The sequence below is a fragment of the Homo sapiens genome, chromosome 3, assembly GCF_000001405.40.
Source record: "Homo sapiens chromosome 3, GRCh38.p14 Primary Assembly".
In the NCBI taxonomy this organism is placed as follows: domain Eukaryota; kingdom Metazoa; phylum Chordata; class Mammalia; order Primates; family Hominidae; genus Homo; species Homo sapiens.
The window spans coordinates 23,664,679-23,687,290 of NC_000003.12; the positions used below are offsets into that span (position 1 = coordinate 23,664,679).

General features: G+C 43.4%; 1 long non-coding RNA gene across 1 annotated transcript, besides 3 other annotated features; it reads left to right on the top strand.

Annotated features, from left to right (window-relative positions):
* Positions 1 to 1,436: 1,436 nt before the first annotated feature.
* On the top strand, positions 1,437 to 17,085 carry LOC124909353 (uncharacterized). The gene is made up of 2 exons (XR_007095844.1): positions 1,437 to 5,381; positions 15,510 to 17,085. It is a non-coding gene; the product is annotated as an uncharacterized LOC124909353 (long non-coding RNA).
* Positions 3,389 to 4,588: an enhancer, noted in NCBI's record as "P300/CBP strongly-dependent group 1 enhancer chr3:23709558-23710757 (GRCh37/hg19 assembly coordinates)". NCBI's record gives its function as "activates an origin of replication core promoter dependent on BRD2, BRD4, P300/CBP, MED14 and CDK7 cofactors, with strong dependence on P300/CBP, by STARR-seq in HCT116 cells {active_cell/tissue: HCT116}" and the evidence as "EXISTENCE:reporter gene assay evidence [ECO:0000049][PMID:35650434]".
* Positions 6,824 to 7,325: an enhancer, noted in NCBI's record as "H3K4me1 hESC enhancer chr3:23712993-23713494 (GRCh37/hg19 assembly coordinates)". NCBI's record gives its function as "activates a minimal SCP1, AML or CMV promoter by ChIP-STARR-seq in primed H9 embryonic stem cells {active_cell/tissue: H9 hESC(primed)}" and the evidence as "EXISTENCE:reporter gene assay evidence [ECO:0000049][PMID:30033119]".
* Positions 7,326 to 7,825: an enhancer, noted in NCBI's record as "H3K4me1 hESC enhancer chr3:23713495-23713994 (GRCh37/hg19 assembly coordinates)". NCBI's record gives its function as "activates a minimal SCP1, AML or CMV promoter by ChIP-STARR-seq in primed H9 embryonic stem cells {active_cell/tissue: H9 hESC(primed)}" and the evidence as "EXISTENCE:reporter gene assay evidence [ECO:0000049][PMID:30033119]".
* Positions 17,086 to 22,612: the final 5,527 nt, after the last annotated feature.

Here is a 22,612-nt window from a genome sequence, read left to right on the forward strand (position 1 = left end):
GGGGCCAGCACAGAGCCTGTCACACAGCAGTTCCCCAGGTCAGTCTCCTTCCACCAAGTAGATATGTGAAAATATTATATATGTGGCTCACATTACATTTCTATTCAATAATGCTAATCAAAACATTATATTCCAAGAGAAAGTTGCTGTCCAAGACAGAGTCAGAGCAGAAATCTCATGGAAGTCTTTGGAATTTCTGACAAAATTTCAGGGAGTGTGGAACAAGGGTTGAGCTGGTCATACCTACGCCAGTGATTCTTTTGTTTTTGTTGTTTTTTTTTTTTTTTTTTTTTTTTTTTTTTGAGACAGAGTCTAGCTCTGTCACCCAGGCTGGAGTGTAGTGGCACTATGTTGGCTCACTGCAACCTCTGCCTCCTGCATTCAAACGATTCTCCTGCCTCGCCTCCTAAGTAGCTGGGATTACAGGCACCCGGCTAATTTTCGTATTGTTAGTAGAGATGGGGTTTCACCATGTTGGCCAGGCTGGTCTTGAACTCCTGACCTCAAGTGATCCGCCTGCCTCGGCCTTCCAAAATGCAGGGATTACAGGCGTGAGCCACCTCGCCCAGCCGCCAGTGGTTCTTAAACCCTGTTGTATGTTAAAATCACTTGGGAAATTTATAGAAATCCTAATGTGGCGCTCCATTTCAATCAGAATCTCTAGGGGTGGGACCCAGTAGTTTTAAAACTTCCAAGGGGATTCTGATGCAGGTAGGGTTGAAAACCAGTGATCTTGACAGTGCTTCTCCTATCAGCCTTCCATGCTGGCTGTCCTGCATTCAAACATCCTGAGCACACAGCCCACAGCCCAGGGTCCTCCACGCTCCCTCCTGAAGTTATATGGTAGGTGTTCAGTTTTCCATAAAGCCGCCTTGACACATGTAGCTTGCCTCCTATCCTCTGCCCCGAAGTTGTTGATGCTTGATTTATGGACTATCTTGTGTTATTTATTGTGGGGGATACATTCTAATAAATACATTGTTAGGTGATTTTGTCATTGTGCGAACATCAGAGTGTACTTACACAAACCTTGGTGGCATAGCCTACTACACACCTAGACTGTATATAGCCTATTGCTCCTAGGCTACAAATCTGTACAGCATGTTACTGTACTGAGTACTGTAGGCAGTTATAACACAATGGCATTTGTGTATCTTGACATAGAAAAGGTACAGTAAAAATACAATATAAAAGATTTAAAATGGTAGACTTGTATAGGGCACTTACTGTGAATAGAGCTTGAAGAACTCAAAGTTACTCTGGATGAGTCAGTGAGTGAGTGGTGAGTGAATGTGAAGGCCTAGAACATTACGCTATTGTAGACTTTACAAACACTGTATACTTAGGCTACATTAAATTTATTTTAAAATTTTTTCTTTCTTATACAATAAATTAACCTTAGCATATATATATATATATATATATATATATATTTTTTTTTTTTTTTTTTTTTTTTTTTTTGAGACAGAGTCTTGCTCTGTCACCCAGGCTGGAGTGCAGTGGCGCGATCTCAGCTCACTGCAACTGCCGCCTCCTGGGTTCAAGTGATTCTCCTGCCCCGACCTCCTGAGTAGCTGGGATTACAGGGACGTGCCACCACTCCTGGCTATTTTTTTTTTTTTTTTAGTAGAGATGGGGTTTCACCATGTTGGCCAGGCTGGTCTCAAACTCCTGACCTCAAGTGAACCACCCCTCTCAGCCTCCCAAAGTGCTGGGATTACAGGCGTGAGCCACCGTGCCCAGCCAGCTTAATATAATTTTTTAACTTTATAAACTTAAAAAAAATTCAACTTTTTGACTCTTTTGTAATAACAGCCTAAAACACAAACACATTATACAGCGTACAAAAAATATTTTTATATCTGTATTCTATAAGCTTTTTTCTATTAAAATTTTTTTTAACTTTTAAAACTTCTTTCTTAAAAATCAAGACACAAGAACGCACACTCTCCTAGGCCTGCACAGGGTCAGGATGATCAATATCACTGTCTCCCACTTCCATATCTCGTCCCACTGGAAGGTTTTCAGGGGCAGTAATATGCATGGAGCTGAAAACGCCTATGATAACAATGCCTTCTTCTGGAATACCTCCTGAAGGACCTGCCTGAGGTTGCTTTACAGTTAACATATTTCTAAGTAGAAGGAGTACACTCTAAAATAATGATAAAAAGTATAGTATGGTAAATACATAAACCAGTAACCTAGTCATTTATTATCAAGTACTATGTGTTATTCATAATTGTATGAGCTAGACTTTTAGTTGACTGGCAGCGCAGTAGGTCTGTTTACACCAGCATCACCACAAACACATGAGTAATGTGTTGTGCTATGATGTTACAATGACAATAGCATTACAACAGCTTTGCGTCACTAGATGATAGGAATTTTCAGCTCCATGATAATCTTATATATGGAGACCACTGTCATACATGCGGCCCATTGTTGACCAAAGCGTTATGTGGCACATGATTGTAGTTGTTTATAGTCAGCATCCCTTCTGATTGGGTGGTCTGTGCCATTTTTGAGCATTGCCTCTTGGAACAAGGTATAAGAAAGACAGAGCCCAGCTATAACTTTAGGAATGTCCGTACCCTCAGGAATATCTGTATCCTTAAGAAGGGCAACAGGGTTGCTGAGTACAGGCTAAAATAACGATAAAAAGTACAGTATAGTAAATATGTAAAAAAAACAAGTATTATCTATTGTTTTCTTTTTTGTTGTTGTTTTTTATGTATTGTGCATAATTGTATGCATAATGCTTTTATATGACTGGCAGTGAAGTAGGTTTGTTTACACCAGCATCATCACAAACATGTAACACATGTAACTATAACACAGTTAAGTCACCTGCAACATCACTAGGCAATAGCCATTTTCCAGCTCCATTACATTCTTATGGGACCACTGTTATATTTGTTCTCCCTCACTGACTGAAATGTCGTTATGTGGTATGTGACTGTACAACATAAACTCTTCATTGTTTACTTTGTGGCTTCTTTGCATGGCAGTCATCTGAACCTTGTTCCTAAATTCGGGGACTTCCCCACTGTTATGGTCTGAATATTTGTGTCCCTCCAAAATTCATGTGTTTAAACCTAACCCCCAAGGTGATGGTGTTAAGAGATGGGGACTTTGTCACTGCTGTATGTGGAAACTAAATAAAAAGGAGATGGGGATTTGGGGAGGTGATTAGGTCATGAGGGCTCCACCCTCGTGGATAGTTTAAGGGCTTGAGGGAGGCTTTCTGCCCGTTCTGCCATGTGAGGATGCAGTCATTCATTGCTGTCTATGAGAAACAGGCCCTCACCAGACATGGCGTCTGCCAGTCCCTTGATCTTGGACTTCCCAACCTTCAGAACTGTGAGTGATAAATTTCTATTGTTTATAAATTACCCAGTTGAAGGTATTTTGTTACAGCAGCCTGAATGGACTAAGACACCCACTGTATATGTTTGGGGATTGATAGGGTGTATCACTTACCACAGAAGTAAAAAAGAAGGCAGATTCTTGCTTCATTCCTGCCCCAAACATGAGTTTGTGGTGGACATGTGTCTCAGTATGGCAAATCAGATGCCCCTGCCCAGGGCTTTGACGCTCACAGTGGGAGGCAAAGAAGCAGAGAGAGAAAACTATCCCTTCAATAAATCCTTTTCCTGCTTAAGTCTGATTTAGAGCTGGTTTCCACTGCTTTCAAGGTTAAGATGTTCAAGGCTGTGCTGGGAAGGCAGGTTGCCATGCAATCCCAAAGTGTGTGTGCTCGTTAAATCTACACCTCCTCTGAGAGCCCAGGGTAGGTCACCAGCCATCTCATTCCTCCTGGGACTCAGGGGATTTCCTGGAATATGGGACTTTCCGAGATAAAGCTAGACATACTGGGCAAACCCAGGTAGTTGGTCAACCTAATCTGAGCCCCATGGACTTAAAAGAGCTTTGGTGTTCCAAGTCAAGGCTGTCTTGGCTCCAAGTCAATTCATTAATATGTCCTGGAGAAAAGGAGGGATCCCAGGAATGCCTTTTCCAGAGACAGCTTCTGAAATCAAAGGCCCTCTGAGGAAATGCTTAGTAGGAGTCACTGATTTTATAAGAGTGACTCATTCAGAACATTTCGATGTAAGCAGAGGTGGATTTACCAGCGAGCTACTGAAACTTGAGCTTCAGAGGCCCTTGTTTGCCCTTGGAAGCCATGGTAGGGGCCCAATGAATAGTCACAGGATCATATGTTTTTGTCAATTTTACAAAAGTAAGATTTTTTTTTTTCTCTGCAGTAGGTTAAGATGCCTGTCTCTTTCTCTTCTGACTTCCCCTCCTATTAAGTGGTGGACGTTGGCATGTCCAAGTGCATTTCTGAAAATTCTGCTAAGGGGTCATTCAGTTTAGAATACATTTAGTTTGGATTTAATGGGATGTGTGCCTGAAGTCACTGTCACTTCTTTGTACAGTTGTACAGTTTAAGCTATTGCTGGCAGGGGAAACGCACATATCCTACCTTGAGTATTTTATTTGATGCCAAAATGCTTCTTTAAATTTTATTCTATTTTATTTTATTTAGAGACAAGGTCTCTAAAAAATATGTTTCCTGGGCTGGGGTGCACTGGCTATTCACAGACATGATCATAGCTCACTGCAGTCTTGAACTCCTGGGTTCAAGCTATCCTCCCAAGGAGCTGAGACTACAGACACGCACCACCATGCCCGATTCAAAGTGCCTCTCATATCCACAGGGAAGAAATGCTGAGTTATCCATAAACTTCAAAGCCTGAGCATGGCTGTGGGAGGCAGCTAATAGACAACTCTGCAAAGAATGGGAATCATTTTGAAAAGAAGCGTGGAGCTTTCACAAAAGAGAAGAGAGCTAGAGCAATAAACAATTTCTATCTACACAAAGAGGAGCAGACACGTTCCTGTCTTGGACCCTTTATTTTGGACTCCGGTTGGTCTGAATTGAAACTGCCTTTTAGTTGGGAGCTACAGAAAGGCTGGGACCTTGAGATCACAATGGATGCTTGTTACACGTGAGATGAAAGTTTGAGGAGGAGTGTACATCAAAAGATGCTGCGTTGATGACGTCAGAAATTATATGCTGAGAGAGCCTGTTGCAGTGAAGAAGGTGGGGTTTGCCTCCCGCAGGTGAGGCCCTGCTCCAGCCCCATGCCCAGTATTACCATGGCACTCACAAAAACACCATTTATCCTATTCTTTGTTTTTTGCTGCCTGGGAACTCCTCGAAGGCAGGATCTTGTTGATGATGTTTGTATCAGCAGCACCTGGCAGAGTGCCTGGGCCCAAAAGTAGACTCCCAAAAAATGTTTGCTGAATTTAATGACAACATCTTGCAGGTTCTGTGACCACCATGACATCCGGTGCCCTGCTGCTTAATAAAGGTGAGTAAGAATGAGGTGCTCTCATAATAAGAGACTTACATAGAAAACCAGCTCAGGGGATTCCAGGACCACAGCTCCTTTCTCCTCCAGGCCCAGTGCCAGGAAGTGTGGACAGACAGCTCTATGTGTCTGAAGCCAGGGATCTGTGGGGGTTGCAATAAAGGCAAAAGTAGCAGGATTTGTGCCCTCTTGTAGAAGCCAAGGAAAGAGAGAAAAGTGTTGTGGGAGAACAAGCAAAACAAACAAATAAAACTCCACTGAAAGTAAATCCATGTCTATTATTACAGTCACACCTTTAAGTAAAATTATACATAAGGATGTAAGCACAAACCAGTTTTAAAAATTCTTAGAGCAGTGATCCTTAGATGGGTAGGTTGAGGCATCCCAGTACCAAGAACGCCCCTCAGGTGCACCACACAGTTTTACTCAATGCATGAAAACTGTTTCAGCTGCAGCTGGGAACACATATATATATATATATATATACTGCTCTGACGAGTCTCTTCCAGGTGAAACACTGATTACTGAAGTTCAGGGAATGGGGTCTAGAGCTGGGTCTTGAAAACAAAGAATGGAGTGTCCTGGAATTTGGGAAGCTTTGCCCTGCGAGTATGTAAAAAGGCACCATGAGGGCAGTGAGAATTCCAAAGGACCACCAGGGGTATGGGTGGGGATAATTATGTGGGCAATTAAGCCCATGGAAGTATGCTGTCAGATGAGAAGTCCCTACCCAGAGTGAGGGCTGCCACTTGGGATACATTCTTAGTGTTTCCTTAACTTCAACTCTTTAACTTAGCTTCTCTGGAGTTTTTGTTTCTTCATTTTTCCTTTTTTAATCCTCACATTCGAAATAATTTTAAATTTACAGAAAAGTTGCAAGAATAGCACCCAGACTCACCAGTGTTAATAATTTGCCACATTTGCTTTATCATTCTATGTATCTACATTTTTTTTTCTGAACTATTTGAAACTAAGTTGCAGACATCATGTCCCATTTACCCCTAAATATTTCCACCTATGCTTCCTGAGAACAAAGACATTATTTTATGTAACTACAGGACAGGGATCAAAATTAGGAAACATGGCTGGGCGTTGGCTCATGTCTGTAATGCAGCACTTCGGGAGGCCGAGGCTGCAGGATCACTCGAGCCCAGGAGTTCGAGAACAGCCTGGACAAAATAGCAAGATCTGTCTCTACAAAAAAAAAAAATGAAAAAATTAGCCAGGCATGGTGGAGCAGTGCCTGTGATCCCAGCTTCTTGGGAGGCTGAGGAGGGAGGGTCGCTTGAAGCCAGGAGGTCAAGGCTGCAGTGAGTGTAGCCACTGCACTCCAGCCTGCCCGACAGAGCAAGAGCCCTGTCTCAAAAAACAAAAAAAGGAAAAAACATGGATACAGTGGTTTCAATCTGTAAACATATACCGGCTTTGCATTCAAATTTTGCCAATTGTCGCAATATCTCCTTGTACTTAGCGGTGCTGCCCAGTGAAGCTTTCCACAGTGATGGCAAGGGCTGCTGAGCGCTTAAAATGTGCCCAGTGCGACTGAGGAAGCCCATTTTAAATTGTATTTAATTTTTATTAATTCCAATTTAAAGAACCACATGTCCCGCGAGGCTAATGTGTTCACATAGTGGACAGCGCAGCTCACTATCCAATTCCCACCCCACCTCGCCCCCTCTTCCTGGGTTTTAAATGAATAGCCTTGGCCCCGGGAGCCCTGGCAGCGCCTCCTCCTCAGCAGTCTCGGCCGGCAGATGGGTTTCTTTCCTTTAGCCAGCGCAGACTTTTCTTAAACAAATGGACAGAGTGGTCCCCATTTATTAATAGAAGCTGCGCGACTGCACTTGCAGTGTGGCGGGCCTGGCTTCTCTTGCGAAAGCCGAAGCCTGGCGGCAGCGCGGCCCGCAAGCGCGGAGCTTCTGCCGGTGGAGGTCCGAGCTCGCAACGCTCACCCAGGAGGCCGCGCCCGCCCCGCAAGGCGGCAGGAGAGCCAAGCCCGGGCACCACACCTGCGGCATCGGAACGAGAATCCTTCCTCCAAGTCTCCTCCACTCCCTCAGGCGAATTATGGCAATTCCCTGCTGTGTGGCCTTGCCCTTGGAAGTGGAAGTGAGTGAGAGTCACGTTTGGCACCGGGCGGGTGGGAACCGCACCCCTCAGCAGTGCCTGGAGCGATGGGTGGCGAACTCTGCTCCAGAGACCTGCTGGGGATCCTGGCCATCCGCGTGTGCCTGAGGCTTGCGAGGACGCCTCTGAGCACTAGCCCAGAACGTGGAGGTGTGGGTGTGGTTTCCTAAATGAATATTTACTTATTTATTTATTTATTTATTTATTTATTTATTTATATTTTTTATTTTTTAGGGAGAATGTGTGTTTTTTTGTTTGTTTTTGAGACAAGTTCTCAGTCTGTCACTCACGCGGGAGTGCAGTGGCACAATCAGGGCTCACTGCAGCCTCCACCTCCTAGGCTCAAGCTATCCTCCTGCCTCAGCCTCTGAAGTAGCTGGGACTACAGGCTGCAGCACCACTCCCGGCTAATTTTTGCATTTTTGATAAAGACGGGGTTTCACCATAGGCTGGTCTTGAACTCCTGACTCAAAGTCATCCACAGGTCTCGGCCTCCCAAAGTGTTGGGATTACAGGTATGAGCCACCACACCTGGCTTTTCTTTTCTTTTCTTGCTTTCTTTTTCTTTTTCACTCTTTTCTCTCTCTCTCTCTCTCTTTCTTTCTCCTTTGAGAGGGTCTCATTCTGTCACCCAGGCTGGAGTGCAATGGTGCAATTACGGCTCACTGCAGCCTTAGCCTCCTGGGCTTAAGCAATCCTCCCACCTCAGACGCCAGAGTAACTTTTTTTTTTTTAATTTTTTGTAGAGATGGGGGTCTCACTATGTTGCTCAGGCTAGTCTCAAACTACTGGGCTCAAGCCATCCTTCCACCTCGGCCTCCCAAACTGCTGGGATTACAAGTGTGAGTCACTGCACCGAGTAAACTTTCTACTTTAAAACAGTTTTAGATTTATAAAAGTTTTGTGATGATAAACAGAGTTCCCATATACCCGGCACCAGTATTCTCTCTTAACGTCTCATATAAGAAAGGTACATTTGTCACTATTAGTGAATCAATATGGATACATTATTATTAAGTAAATTTCGTACTTTATTTCTGATTTCTTTCATTTTTACATAATGTCTTTTTTTCTGTTCCGGAATCTCATCCAGGATGCCACATTACTTACATTTAATGGGTTTGTCTCTTTAGGCTCCTCTTGGCTGTGACAGTTTCCCAGACTTCCCTTGGTTTTGATAACATTGACAGTTTTGAAGAATATTGGTCAGGTGTTCTGGAGAGTGTGCCCCAGTTAGGATTTGTATGATGTTTTTATCATGATTAGCCTGAGATTATGTGGCTTTGAGATGAAGACTAGAGGTAAAGTGCCATTTTTATCACACATCATATCAAGAGTACATACTGTCAACATGATTTATCACTTGTCATTGTGATACCTGGCTGGAGGTAATGTTTGTTGGGTTTCTCCACCGTAGAGTTACTTTTCTCTCCCTTTCCATGCTGTGCTTTTAGGAAGGTAGTCACTTTGTGCAGCTCACATTCAGTAATAGGGAGGTAAGCGCCGCACCTAGAGGGCAGAGTATTTGCATAAAATAATTGGAATTCTTCCACATAGGAGATTTGTTCTTATTTATTTATTTATTCAGTCATTCATTTATACTAGTATAGATTCATATGTATTTATTTTGTATTTTGGGTTATAATCCAATACTACTTTATCTTATTGCTCCAATTGTTCCGGCGTTGGCCACTGGGAACCGTTTCAGTTGGGTCCTGTGTCCCTTCAACACGCCCCATCTTTGTGCAACTGTTTCTGTTTCAGCACTTCCTTATGTCCTGACACAAGATGCTCCAGGCTTATCTTATATATTTCATGCCCCAGTCCTAGAATCAGCTATTTCTCTAAGGATCCCTGGTTTGTTTGTTTGTGTGTTTGTTTGTTTTTAATTGGGGAATGGTATTAAAAATCAGGATCTGGCTGCTAGGTGTGCTTGTTGCAACTGTAATATCATAAGCCCTCTCTGACAGAGCAAGGAAATGTGTGCATTCCATGTATATCTCTAGATATTTCTTTATGTAACTAGCTGTATCTATATTAAGCTAAACATGAATTCATACTAATGTCTCCAATTCCAATCTATTACCATGTAGATTATTCTAACCTCCCGCTCCAACAGTGAGAAACCTGGTTTCTACCATCCATTTATTTAATTGTTCAATTCTGACATATATGTATTGCAGTATCAGAAATGTTAATCCATACCCCTATAGAAACAACTTTATTAACTAGAGCACAGTGCTATGTAGTTGCCTTTGTAGTCTTGTAGATTCCACTCATTTCCAAAGCTACCTGGGGCTGGGCGTGGTGGCTCACACCTATAATCCCAGTACTTTGGGACGCTGAGGCAGGCGGATCACTTGAGGTCAGGAGTTTGAGACCAGCCTGGACAACATGGCAAAACCCTGTCTCTACTAAAAATACAAAAATTAGCCGGGTGTCAGGGCGGGCACCTGTAATCCCAGCTCCCCAGGAGGCTGAGGCAGGAGAATCACTTGAACCTGGGAGGTGGAGGTTGCAGTGAGCTGAGATTGTGCCACTGCACTCTAGCCTGAGTGACAAAGCAAGACTCTGTCTCAAAACAAAAACAAAAACCAAACAACAACAACAACAAAAAAAGCAAAGCTACTTGGGTCAGTACTTTTCCCTCCAGCACTGTCCGTGAGGTTTTTCATATATTTGTAATACAGTTAGTTTGATTTGTCATATTCTACCTTCCATCCTTGTATTTCCCAATCTCCTAAATTACATTTTTGAGTCTACAGCATACATTAAGTTTTACTATTTTTTTTTTTTTTTTTTTAGAGACAGGGTCTCACTCTGTTGCCCACGCTGGGTGCAGTGGTGTGATCATAGCTCACTGCAGCCTCAAAACTCCTGGGCTCAAACAATCTTCCCACCATGGCCTCCCAAAGGGCTGGGATTATGGGCATGAGCCTCAGCACCTGGCCAAGTTTCATTCTTTGTACTGTAAAGTCTTGTGGATTTTGACAAATGCATAGTGTCACATATCAACCAGTACAGTATCCTACAGAGACGTTTCACTGCCCTAAAAATCCCCTGTGCCTCACTCAGTCAGACCTCACATCCCCTGCGCACAGGCAACCACTGATTTTTTACTCTCTCTATAGTTTTGTAATATAATTGGATTAATACACAATGAAGCCTTTTCAGACTGGCTCCTTTCATTTAGTAATATGCATTTAAGATTCACCCATGACTTTTTGTGGCTTGATAGCTCGTTTCTTTTTATTACTGAATAATATTCCATTGCACGGATATACCACATTTGTTTATCCTTCACCTATTGAAGTACATATTGGTTGCTTCCAATGCTTGGAGAGTATGAATAGAGCATCTATAAATATTCATATGCAAGTTTTTGTGTGGGCATCAGTTTTCAAATCACTTAGGTAAATACCTACAAGCACAACGGCTGTGTTGTATGATAAGCCAATGTTTAGCTTTGTAAGAAACTGCCAAACTATCCTTGAAAGTGGCTGTACTCTGTTGCATTTTCACTAGTCATGGATGAAAGTTCCTGTTGCTCTATATTCTTGCCAGAAATTGGTATTGTCAGTTTTGGTTTTTGGTTTTTGTTTTTGTTTTTAGCCATTCTAATAGATGTGTAGTGGTAAGTCATTTTTTTAATCAGTTATTTTTTAGATGTGGGACTCTATGCCCATCAAAATAAAATGGCTTATAAGATTAAACTACATGGAAATAGGATATAAAAAGAATCAGAAAACAAATTAAGTAAAATGAACAGAAAATGGGTATTGCCAGATAGCAGGAGTAGCTTATCATCATACTTCCATATTAAATTTAACTTTATGTTGCAAACACAGTTTCTTTTATCATTGAAAAGGAAGCATACATGGTTATTTTGAGAGACAAAATTTTTCTTGGATCTGAATTTCAGTAGAAATGTACCTTGTGAACTTTAAACATAATAGACATTGGGTATCACAAAAGATGGCATCTTCAACCAGTTTTACAACTGTTAGCAACATGCTTCACCCAGAAATTCCTTATAGCTGCTTTCCCTTCAGCCCCTACTGCTGCTTTCTAAGAGTTACAGTTTGCTAAAATGGTGACTAAGAATCTTAGTGAGTCTTTCACTTAAGAATTTTAGAACAGTCATGACAATCTGCACATGTTAAACCCTGAGAGATACTTATGACATTGAATGAAGATGGTGTAGACACCATCTTACTTGGTGATGTAGTTTCTCCCAACTGTTCTCAAAATCTGTTAAGATTCTTCTGTATTGACCAACAGGAGAGTAAAAACCTTATTCGCTGACACCCCAGCAGGTTTTCCTACTATAGTTCTAACTTGGAATTTCTTACTTTTCATTTTGCTATTCTTTGGAAAAGAGTCTGACTTTTTTTTTTTTTTTCTTTGAGACAGTATTGCTCAGTTGCCCAGGCTGGAATGTAGTGGCATGATCCTGGCTCACTGCAGCCTCTGCCTCCCTAGTTCAAGCGATTCTCCTGCCACAGCTTCCTGAGTAGCTGGTATTATAAGGTGCCTGCCACCACACCCAGCTAATTTTTGTATTTTTAGTAGAGATGAGGTTTCACCATGTTGGCCAGGCTAGTCTTGAACTCCTGACCTCAAGTGATCCGCTTGCCCGGGCCTCCCAAAGTGCTGGGATTACAGGCGTGAGCCACCGTGCGTGGCCGAATCTGACTTTTAATACATTTTTTTGAGGTGTACTGCTGGATAGGGGCTCCTAGATTTGAAGGAATCTCTGAAATTGAGATCTCCTCACTCTAGATTTTATTTTGTGATGGCTGTGTATACAAGAGTTATTGCTGAGCAATTACTGTTCACCTAACAACTGTGGAATGGAGCCACAGGTCTGGAATGAATAAGTACAAGGAGCCATAATTCCTTTACCTGGAATTAAAGGGAGAAAAAAGGGCCTTCATAATATTTCAAGTTAATTTCCACAGTATCGTTTGAAGACAGGAGTGCAGTGGAAGGAAATGCAGTGGACTGACAGGCTTATTTGTCTATCTCTGCCGTGAGATGCAGAAAAGAAAGTGAAGACTGCTATGTGCCCTCTTTTTATAAAGCTGCTATGCAGAGTGCACTGTCAAAAAAAAAAAAAAAAAAAAGAGCAAAGAGTGTCAGTAGCTATTTAGACAGAAAGACAATATGCTCTTTCCAGAGTGTCCATTTACACCAATTTGCTGTGAAACTTTCCAAAGCTAATGAGATATTAAATGTGTTTTGTTGAGGGAAGAAGCTGATTAGTCTTTGGTTTGATTTTTAATGTAATTGGCAAGGAAAAGTACACAGCTTAAGTTTTGAAGGTAATCTCCATCCAGAGCCCTGTGAAAACATGATTGGGCTCGCGAAGGCCATGGAGACCTGTACCACTTGGCTGGGAACTCAACTGCAGCTGTGAAATGTAACTGCTCCTCTGGATTGGGAACTTTTCTGGTGTTTATAGGGAGGCCCTCACCCCTCATTTATATTCTGGAACACTTTATTTTCCACAGATGGCTGTCATGGCTTTCAAAGGCAGTTCTGATTCTGGTAAGGGTTCTAGAACTTGGAGCTTTTCAGATAACCCTTATACAGGGTTCTATATGTACACTCACAACACAATACTTCCAGAACACTTCACTTCTGACACTATCTATTTGGAGTTAGCATTAGATCCTACAAATGAAGGACTCAGTCCCACAGACTGCCCTCACTGCAGATGCCAATTGCAAGTCCAGGTTGTCAACATCCAGCTGTAAATCGGAGGTTCCTACAACCCCTAAGTTTCAATCATTTGCTAAAAACAACTTGCAGATCTCAGGAAAACATGTTTACTGGATTATTATACAGGATATTACAAATGATACAAATGAATAGCCAGGTGACGGGATAAATAGCATGAGTTCTGGAAGGGTTCCAAGCACAGGAGCTTCTGTCTCCGTGGAGTTGGGGTGCAGCACCACCGTTCTGGCACATGAATGTGTTCACCAACACAGAAGCTCTGAACCCTGTCTTTTAGACATTTTTATGGGGGCTTCATCATGTAGGCATGATCAATTATCAATACAATCCCCAGCCCTGCTCACCTTCCTGGGGGATGGGGCGTGGGGCACTGAAAGTTTGAAGCTTCTAATCGTGGCCTGGTCTTGCCCATGACCAGCCCCCGTCCAGGAGTACATCCAGAGTCACCTCATTAGAGCAAAAGATGCTCCTCTTACCTGGGAAATTTCAAGCGATTTAGGAGCTCTTTGCCAGGAGCCAGGGGCAGAGACCAAAGACATGCTTTTTGTTTGTTTTTTGTTGTTGTTTGTTTCTTTTGAGATGGAGTCTTACTCTGTTGCCCAGGCTGGAGTGCAGTGGCACTATCTAGGCTCACTGCAACCTCTGCCTCCTGGGTTCAAACAATTCTCCTGCCTCAGCCTCCCGAGTAGCTGGGACTACAGGTATGTGCCACCATACCTGGCTAATTTTTGTATTTTTAGTAGAGACAGGGTTTCATCATGTTGGCCAGGCTGGTCTCGAACTCCTGGCCTCAAGTGATCCACCCACCTCGGCCTCCCAAAGTGCTGGGATTACAGGTGTAAGCCACCACGCCTGGCCTCAAATACATAATTTTTTTTAACGTCCACACCCTTTATGCATGATTTTGCCAGTAATCAATAATTAATATATCAAACTTACAGATAACCAGTATAGAACTATATGTTATGTAATACACAGATTATGAGTTGGTTGATATACAGCATTTGGTTTTATGGATCCTAGGAAGCTTTAAAATCAATGTGAGTTGTTTATTTACAAACAGGACCAAACCAAAATCTTTTGTTCCCCTTGGGACTAGAGAAAAGGGCAGAAAAGTCAAATGGTTAGGTCAAGAATCAAGAATCCTGTGGGCCTGTGTTCAAATTCTGGCTCTACCACTCACTGGCTGAGTGACCTATGGCAAATTGCTTCTCGATGTCTCAGTTTCCTGTGCATAAATTGAAGCTAATACCAATACCCACTTCAGAGTTGTTGTGAGGATTAAATGAGATAATACAGAAAGTATTTACCTTAATGAGTGTCAACCAAAACCAAACAAACTTGGTTTGTGACATGGAAAAGGAAAACTGTTAAGTTTATTCCTTGGTAAAATTATTCAAATGGACTGATAGTAAATTTTTTTAAATATGTTGACAATCTCGTTGTCAGCTGACTGTCTTTGAGGCCATGAGGGATCCCTGGGAGTGCAGTGTATGTACCAGCCAGGAGGAAAGGGTAAGGCTTTCCTTCCTTGCTCTCAAAAGGGAAGGAAGCTGTATTAGACTGTTCTCACATTGCTATAAAGAAATACCTGAGACTGAGTAAGAGCTGTAATTGGCTCAACCATTCCACAGGCTGTACAGGAAGCATGATGCTGGCATCTGCTCAGCTTCTGGGGAGGCCTCAGGAAACTCACAGTCATGGCAGAAGGCGAAGGGGAAGTGAGGCACTTCACGTGGTCAGCACAGGAGGGGCAGGTGCCACACACTTTTAAACAGCCAGATCTCATGAGAACTCCATCACGAGAACAGCACCAAAGGGATGGTTCTAAGCAATTCGTGAAAGATCTACTCCCAAAATCCAATTACCTCCCACCAGGCCCCACCTTCAACACTGGGTATTACAGTTCGACAGAAGATTTGGGCAGGGACACAAATCCAAACCATATCAGAAACTTTGAGATACCTTTCAACTGTTGAGTCATTTCAAACCGAGGCCGAGGGGCTCACAGAGAAGGAGTCTCGGGGCCAGTTAGCCAAGCCCAGACCTGGTGCTGCATCGAATCGCTTCTAAGCTGACAATTGGGAAGTGAGGACAATTTGCTCAGTGACTGACTAACGTCATGAAGGTGTTGTTTCCGTACATATTGAGGTTCAGCTAAAGCAGACATTAATATTGGTAATTTTATCAGAAGTAGATATTTCAGATATCATCAATGTTTTAAGTCCCTAAATGATAATATTTTTATTGTTTTTACAGTTCCGAATGACTTCTGGAGAATAGTAAATGTGTCCCTAAACATAGGATATAATTTTACCTAAAAATTTCATATACATGTTGTGAGATAAATTGTGTTCCCCCAAAAAAGATATGTTCAACTCCTAAGCTAGTACCTATGAATGTGATCTTATTGGGAAATAGGGTCATTACAGATGTAAGCAAGTTAAGATGCTCAGTATGGTGGACCCTAAACCCAATATGACTGGTGAGCTGATAAGCAAAGGAGACATAGATAGGCACTCAGAGAGAATACCATATGACAACAGAAGCAGAGATTGGAGTGACACGGATACAAGTCATGGAACACCAAGGATTGCCAGCAATTCCAGAAACTGAAAGAAGGACATGGGACAGATTCTGCCCAAGAGCCGTCACGGAGACAGCATGGCCCTGCTGACATTGATTTTGGACTTCCAGCCTCCAGAGCTGTGACAGAATAAGGTAATGTTGTTTAAAGTCACCTGCCTTGTGGTACTTCCGTATAGCAGCCCTAGAAACTAATACACACTATGTTAAGATTATTTTGGTGCTACATTTTAATGATTTTTAAAAACTATGATTAGGGCCACGCACAGTGGCTCATGCCTGTAATCCCAGCACTTGGGAGGCCAAAGCAGGTGGATCACTTGATGTCAGGAGTTTGAGGCCTGCCTAGCCAACATGGTGAAACCTCGTCTCTACTAAAAATACAAAAATTAGCTGGATGTAGTGGCTGCATACCTATAGTTCCAGCTCCTTGGGAGGCTGAGGCAGGAGAATCGCTTGAACCTGGGAGGCAGAGGTTTCAGTGACCCAAGATCTCACCACTGCACTCCAGCCTGGATGACAGAGAGAAACTCCGTCTCAAATTAATTAATTAATTAATTAATAAAATAAAATAAAAACTATGATTAGGAGCTTTCTGTGACTCTCCTTTTCCCACCCCTCCCTACTATCTGAGAGTTGATGACATTTTCTGTTTTATTTCTTCCGTGTTTAATTGTATAGTCTCTGAGAACTAGATTTGATCTCAAGGACAGGAAAATGAAAAGGAACTCATCATGACTTCTGGGATGGTTAATATTAAGTGTCAACTTGATTGGATTGAAGGATGAAAAGTGTTGTTTGTGGGTGTATCTGGGTGTTGCCAGAAGAGATTAACTTTTGAGTTGGTGGGCTAGGAGAAGACCCACCCTCAGGAAGACCCACCCACAGTGTGGGCGGGCATCATCCAATCGGCCCCAGCTTGGCTGGAAAAAGCTGGCAGAAGAAAGTGGAAGGAGCTGACTGGCTGAGTCTTCCAGCTTTCATCCTTCTCCTATGCTGGATGCTTCCTGCCCTGGAACATCAGACTCCAAGTTCTTCGGCTTTTGGACTCTTGGACTTACACCAGTGGACTTACACCACTGAAGGCCCGAGAGCCCCTGTCAACTTCCCCTGTCAACTTTGAGGGTTGGGGACTCAGACTGAACCACTACTGGCTTCCTTGCTCCTCAGCTTGCAGACGGCCTGCCGTGGGACTTCACCTGGTGACTGTGTGAGTCAGTTCTCCTTAATAAACTCCCTTTCCTATATACATCTATCCTATTAGTTCTTTCCCTCTAGAGAACCCTTACTAATACAACATCCAACTTCAAATTGCTTTTTTTCAACCATAAACCTTGACTGGAGGTCAACCAAGTATTGGGTACTGTTCCAGGCACTTTAATTAAAAAGATAAAGTAAGGCACAGTTCTTGTCCTGAAAAATATCTGATTCTTAGGCTGAAAACAGACACACAGTCCCAAAACACTGTGATGAATGCTTTAAAGGGGTTTTTAGACTTCAGGTACACCAGAATCACCTGGAGGGCGTATTTAAACCCAAATGGGCTGGGCACAGTGGCTCACAACTGTAATCCCAGCATTTTGGGAGGCTGAGGCAGGAGGATCACTTGAGCCCAGGAGTTCAAGACCAGCGTGAGCAATATGGCAAAACCCCTTCGCTACAAAAAATACAAAAATTAGCTGGACATGGTGGTGCACACCTGTAGTCCCAGCTACTTGGGAGGCTGAAGTGGGAGGATTGTTTGAGCCCAGTAGGTTGAGACTGCAGTGAGCTATGGTCACGCCACTGCACTCCAGCCTGAGAAACAGGGCTAGACTTTGTCTCAAAAAAATTTTTTAAATAGGCCAGGTGCAGTGGCTCATGCCTGTAATCCCAGCACTTTGGGAGGCCGAGGCAGGAGGATCACCTGAGGTCAGGAGTTCGAGACCAGCCTGGCCAACATGGTGAAACCCCGTCTCTACTAAAAATACAAAAATTAGCCAGGTGGGCACCTGTAATCCCAGCTACTTAGGAGGCTGAGGCAGGTGAATCGCTTGAACCAGGGAGGCGGAGGCTGCAGTGAGCTGAAATGGCACCACTACACTCCAGCCTGGGAAACAAGAGTGAAACTCTGTCTCAAAAAAATAAAAATAAATAAATAAATAAATAACCTAAATGAGTGGGCCCCAACCCCAGAGCAATTGATTCAGAAAGTCGTGAGCAGGGTCTGAGAGTTTGTGTTTCCAGCCAGTTCCCAGGTGCTGCTGTTGCTGCTGCTGCTGGTGGTGGTGGCTGGGAACCACACTTCAAGAACCTCTGCTCTGAGAGAACAGTTTCAAATGTTAGAGGACTGGCATTTGAGCTGGCTTTAGGACAAGGAGTGAGGTTGGGTGTGGTGGCTCATGCCTGTAACCCCAGCAATTTGACAGGCTGAGGCAGGTGGATGGCTTGAGCCCAGGAGTTCAAGACCTTCCAGGCTCAAGCAATCCTCCCACCTCAGCCCCCACAAGCAGCTGGGACTACAGGCATGTACCACTATGTCCAGCTAATTTTTAAATTTTGTGTAGAGATGGAGTCTTACCATGTTGCCCAGGTTGGTCTCAAACTCCTGGGCTCAAGTGATCTCTATGTAACTATATGTATATTTCTATATATCTATATAGATATATGGATATATACACATACATACACATATACGTGTGTGTGTATATGTGTATATATATATATAGAGAGAGAGAGAGAGAGACAGAGAGAGAGAGAGAGAGATGAAGGAATTGGCTCATGTGATTGTGGGGACTGACAAATCCAAATCCAAAATCTGTAGAGCAGCAGTTTAGGTAAGTGTTGATGTTGCAGTCTTGAGTCCGAAACCCACAGGGCAGGCAGCGACTGGAAACTCAGGCAGGATTTCTATGTTACAGTCTTGAGGCAGAATTCGCTTTTGGAGAAACCTCAGTTTTTTTTTAAGGCTTTCAGTTGATTTAGTGAGTCCCACCCACGTTATGGAGAGGAACTGGCTTGACTCAAATTCTACTGATTTTAATGTTAATCACATCTACAAAATACCTTCACAGCAACATCCAGACTAGTGTCTGACCAAACAGCTGGGCACATAGCCTAGCCAAGGTGACACACAAAATTAACCATCACATGCCTCTTCCCTTCATGTACCCTGGCTGCCCAGATATTCCATCAGTCTCTGGAGCCTTAGGGGCTTTGTTCTTTCTAGTCCCTTTGCCTGTGATATGTTCCCCTTCTTTATTTAGCCGGGGTCTCAGGTTAATAATCATACCCTAGAAAAGCCCTGATTGATTCCCGTAGTTTAGTTAGGATCCCCTGGTGTGACCCTACCCAGCTTCCTATATTTTTCTTTCACATCCTTTGTATACTTTAAAAAATGTGAACATTTATAAAGAATTGTTTCGACTTTTCCCTCTTGGACTGGAAGCCCCTCATGGTATCCTACTCTTCCTATAGTGCCTGACACATAGTAGGTGCTCATCAAAACCTTGGGGCTTCTCTAAATGACGTACAGACTTGGAAGCCTTCTCAGGGAGTCTTATGTACAAGTAAGGAGACTCATGAGAGTCAAACAGCAGGATTTAGGCCCAGGTCTTCTAACACCAAGTGAGATATCTTCTCCCTGCACCCTCCAGTTTCAGGGCAGAACCCCAAGTGTCCCATTCTGAGCTGGCTGACTTATTTTGCCTTACTAAGAAAGCCAGAGAGCCTCTCTGACCTTCAGTCTCCAAATTCACAAATGAAATCCATGTGGAGAAGGAGCTTCTTTTCACAAGTTAATATGGTAGGACCAGTGGATCAAAGGTAGATATCAAGAGCTACAATCTCACGCCTCCATACCTCCCATTCCACCCCATCTTATGAGAAACTTTTCAGACTAGATACTAAGGAAAGCAACTATGTATTAAATGCTCGCTATGTGCCAAAGACAGTTGTAGTGCTTTGGGGTATATCTTCTCACTTAAGCTTCACCTATTTATGTACTAATATTAACCCCATTTTACACATAGGGAAACTAAGACATGAAAACTTGAACAAATCTTACAACCAACTGATGGTAGATCCAAAATTTCAACCTAAATGGTCAAGATCCACAGGCTGTGTTGTTGTTGTTGTTGTTGTTGTTGTTGTTTTGTTGTTTTGTTTTGAGACTCTCTCTCTGTCTCCCAAGCTGGAGTGCAGTGGTGCCATCTCAGCCTTGATCTCCTGTGCTCAAGCGATCCTCCCACCTCAGCCTCCCAAGTAGCTGGGACTACAGGTGTGCACCACCATGCCCAGCCATTTTTTTTTATTTTTTGTAGAGATGGGGTCTCATTTTGTTGCCAGGCTTGTCTCAAACTCCTGAGTTCAAGTGATCCTTCCGCTTTGGCCTCCCAAAGTGCTGGGATTACAGGTGTGAACCACTATGCCCAGCCTCAGCCTTTGTTCTTAATCACTTTGCCTTAGAAGAGATGACCCTTAATGTGTCTAAAGCAGTCAGGCCAATGAAATCAAATGTGAGCCATAAAATGTGAGTCACATATGTGATTTTAACTTTCCTAGTGACCACGTTAAGAAAAATGATTTTTTTTTTTTTTTTGAGATGGAGTCTCACTCTGTCATCAGGCTGGAGCGCAGTTGGCACGATCTCGGCTCACTGCAACCTCTGCCTTCCAGGTTCAAGCGATTCTCCTGCCTCAGCCTCCTGAGTAGCTGGGATTACAAGTGCACACCACCACACCCGGCTAATTTTTGTATTTGTAGTAGAGACAGGGTTTCATCATGTTGGCCAGGATGGTTTCGATCTCTTGACCTCGTGATTCACCCACATCAGCCTCCCAAAGTGCTGGGATTACAGGCATGAGCCACCGTGCCCAGCCCGAAATTATTTTTAAAAATTTTATTTAACCCAGTATATATTTAAAAATCTACCATTTCAACGTGTTCAATATAAATAATTATGAGATAGTTTACATTGTTTTTTCATACTCAGTCTTTGAAGTCTGGTGAGTATTTTATACCTCCCAATTCGGCCCAGCCACATTTCAAGTGCTCAGTAGTACTTGTGACTGGCACCTACCATATGGCAGCTGGACTGAGCATGTCTAAAGGAACTCTCGGTGTAACCCTTAGACGCTGAAATAACCAGGCTGCTCTTACTCCCTACCCACAATAAAATTCCCACTGTCCCAGCCAGGGACCGCGAAGCTCTGCCCCCTTTAGGATGCCAATCAGTTATTGGAATACCTGAGCCTGCCTCTCAACTCAGTCTTGGGTGTTGGGGGGTTATGACCATCTTCATAAACTGCAGTTATCTTTCACCCCATGGACAAGAATCCAGAGTCCACAGTCCCTGTCACGTAGATTGGGATCTTGGTTTGCCAGTGGTGAGGCGGCCAGTTCTGTGCACTCACCCTGAGCCTCTCACTCCCTCTCTGCCTGGAATGAGTCCAACTTGGTGAGTCAGGGCATGAGTTATGAGTAATCCAGAAGGCCCTGAACAATTGTCTTCCTGACTTTTGAATCACCCGATCCTCTCTGGGATCAGATCAAGTTGGGGGAGTTGGTTCTGTTGGTTGGCAGGGACGGGCCCCCTGCTGAGATGTCTCATCTGGTCCCTCCTTTTTCTCTTGGCTCCCTGACAGTTCAGGCATTTGGCAGAGGGAACTTAAATTTTCTGGAATTGCTTTTGCAGGGAATTTATCATGAACTCACCAGTCCCTTCACGTGGCTTCCATTCTCTCAAGGTTTAGTTCATTGGTTTGGGGGTTCCCCTCCCTACTTTTTTTCCCTTTTAAAAGCTCTAACCATTAAAACATAACTTAGTAAGCTAGAGAGTGGTTTAAATAAAATGAAAAATCGAAAGACAATTATGGTTATGGTGTGTTGTCAACTTCTCACTTGTGAGAGACCAGTCTTTCCACCTGAACCCTCACCCAGAAAATTCTGCAGATTCTACTTTCAGGCCCCTCTGCCCACAGTATTGGCAGAGACTTTTATACACTGGTGCAAAATTTAAAATTCTTCCAGGAGAAAGAAGTGCTCCAATCCTAGAGGGACTCTCATGTTGAAATATAACAGTGGAGTTAATTAGCATTGCAGGGCTCACAAAACTGCCTCCAGGGGCTCCTTCTCAGATTTAAATCAGGGCTGTGTGTGAGATGGAACAGCTCCCACAGAAAGACCCCTTCCACCAACAGCTCTGACCACCGTTTTTTCATCCTTCTCCTTTGGCTCTGCGAGGAGGAACAGCTGAGCCTGGATCGGTGGGCAGCATTTACCAGCTGCATGCTAATAGTGCCCAGGGCCCCTTCCCAGCCCACCTCCTGCTTTCCCCTCAGCACTTTGCTTCTGAAGCCAGATCTCCTTAACCCTTTAAGTTCACACTTATCCCTGTCCTAGAGTGGCAGCAGTTGGGTGAGCCTGGACTTTTCCAGGTTGGGGAAGAAGTCAGGGGGGGCCTTTGGCCCAAGCACTCCTTTCAGCTCAGCCTAAGAAAGTGCATTTTCTAAATGACCCTGCCATTTTTTTTGTATCCTGGACATGAGCTAGATATCTGCTTCATAGATTCTCTGCATGCGTTTCACAACCTTGCCTGGTAGGTATTCTAATCTCCATTTTACAAAGGAGGAAACTAGGACTGAGAGAGGAGGTGGTGTTTCTAAGTTGAACCTGCATGAAAGATGGTTCTAGGATCCCAACCCAGGTCTGTCTTGCTCCAAAGCCCCATGCCAGGAACACTGTTCCCCACCCATCCCCAGGCCGAAATGGTGGAGATGCTGCTGCACTATTACTGC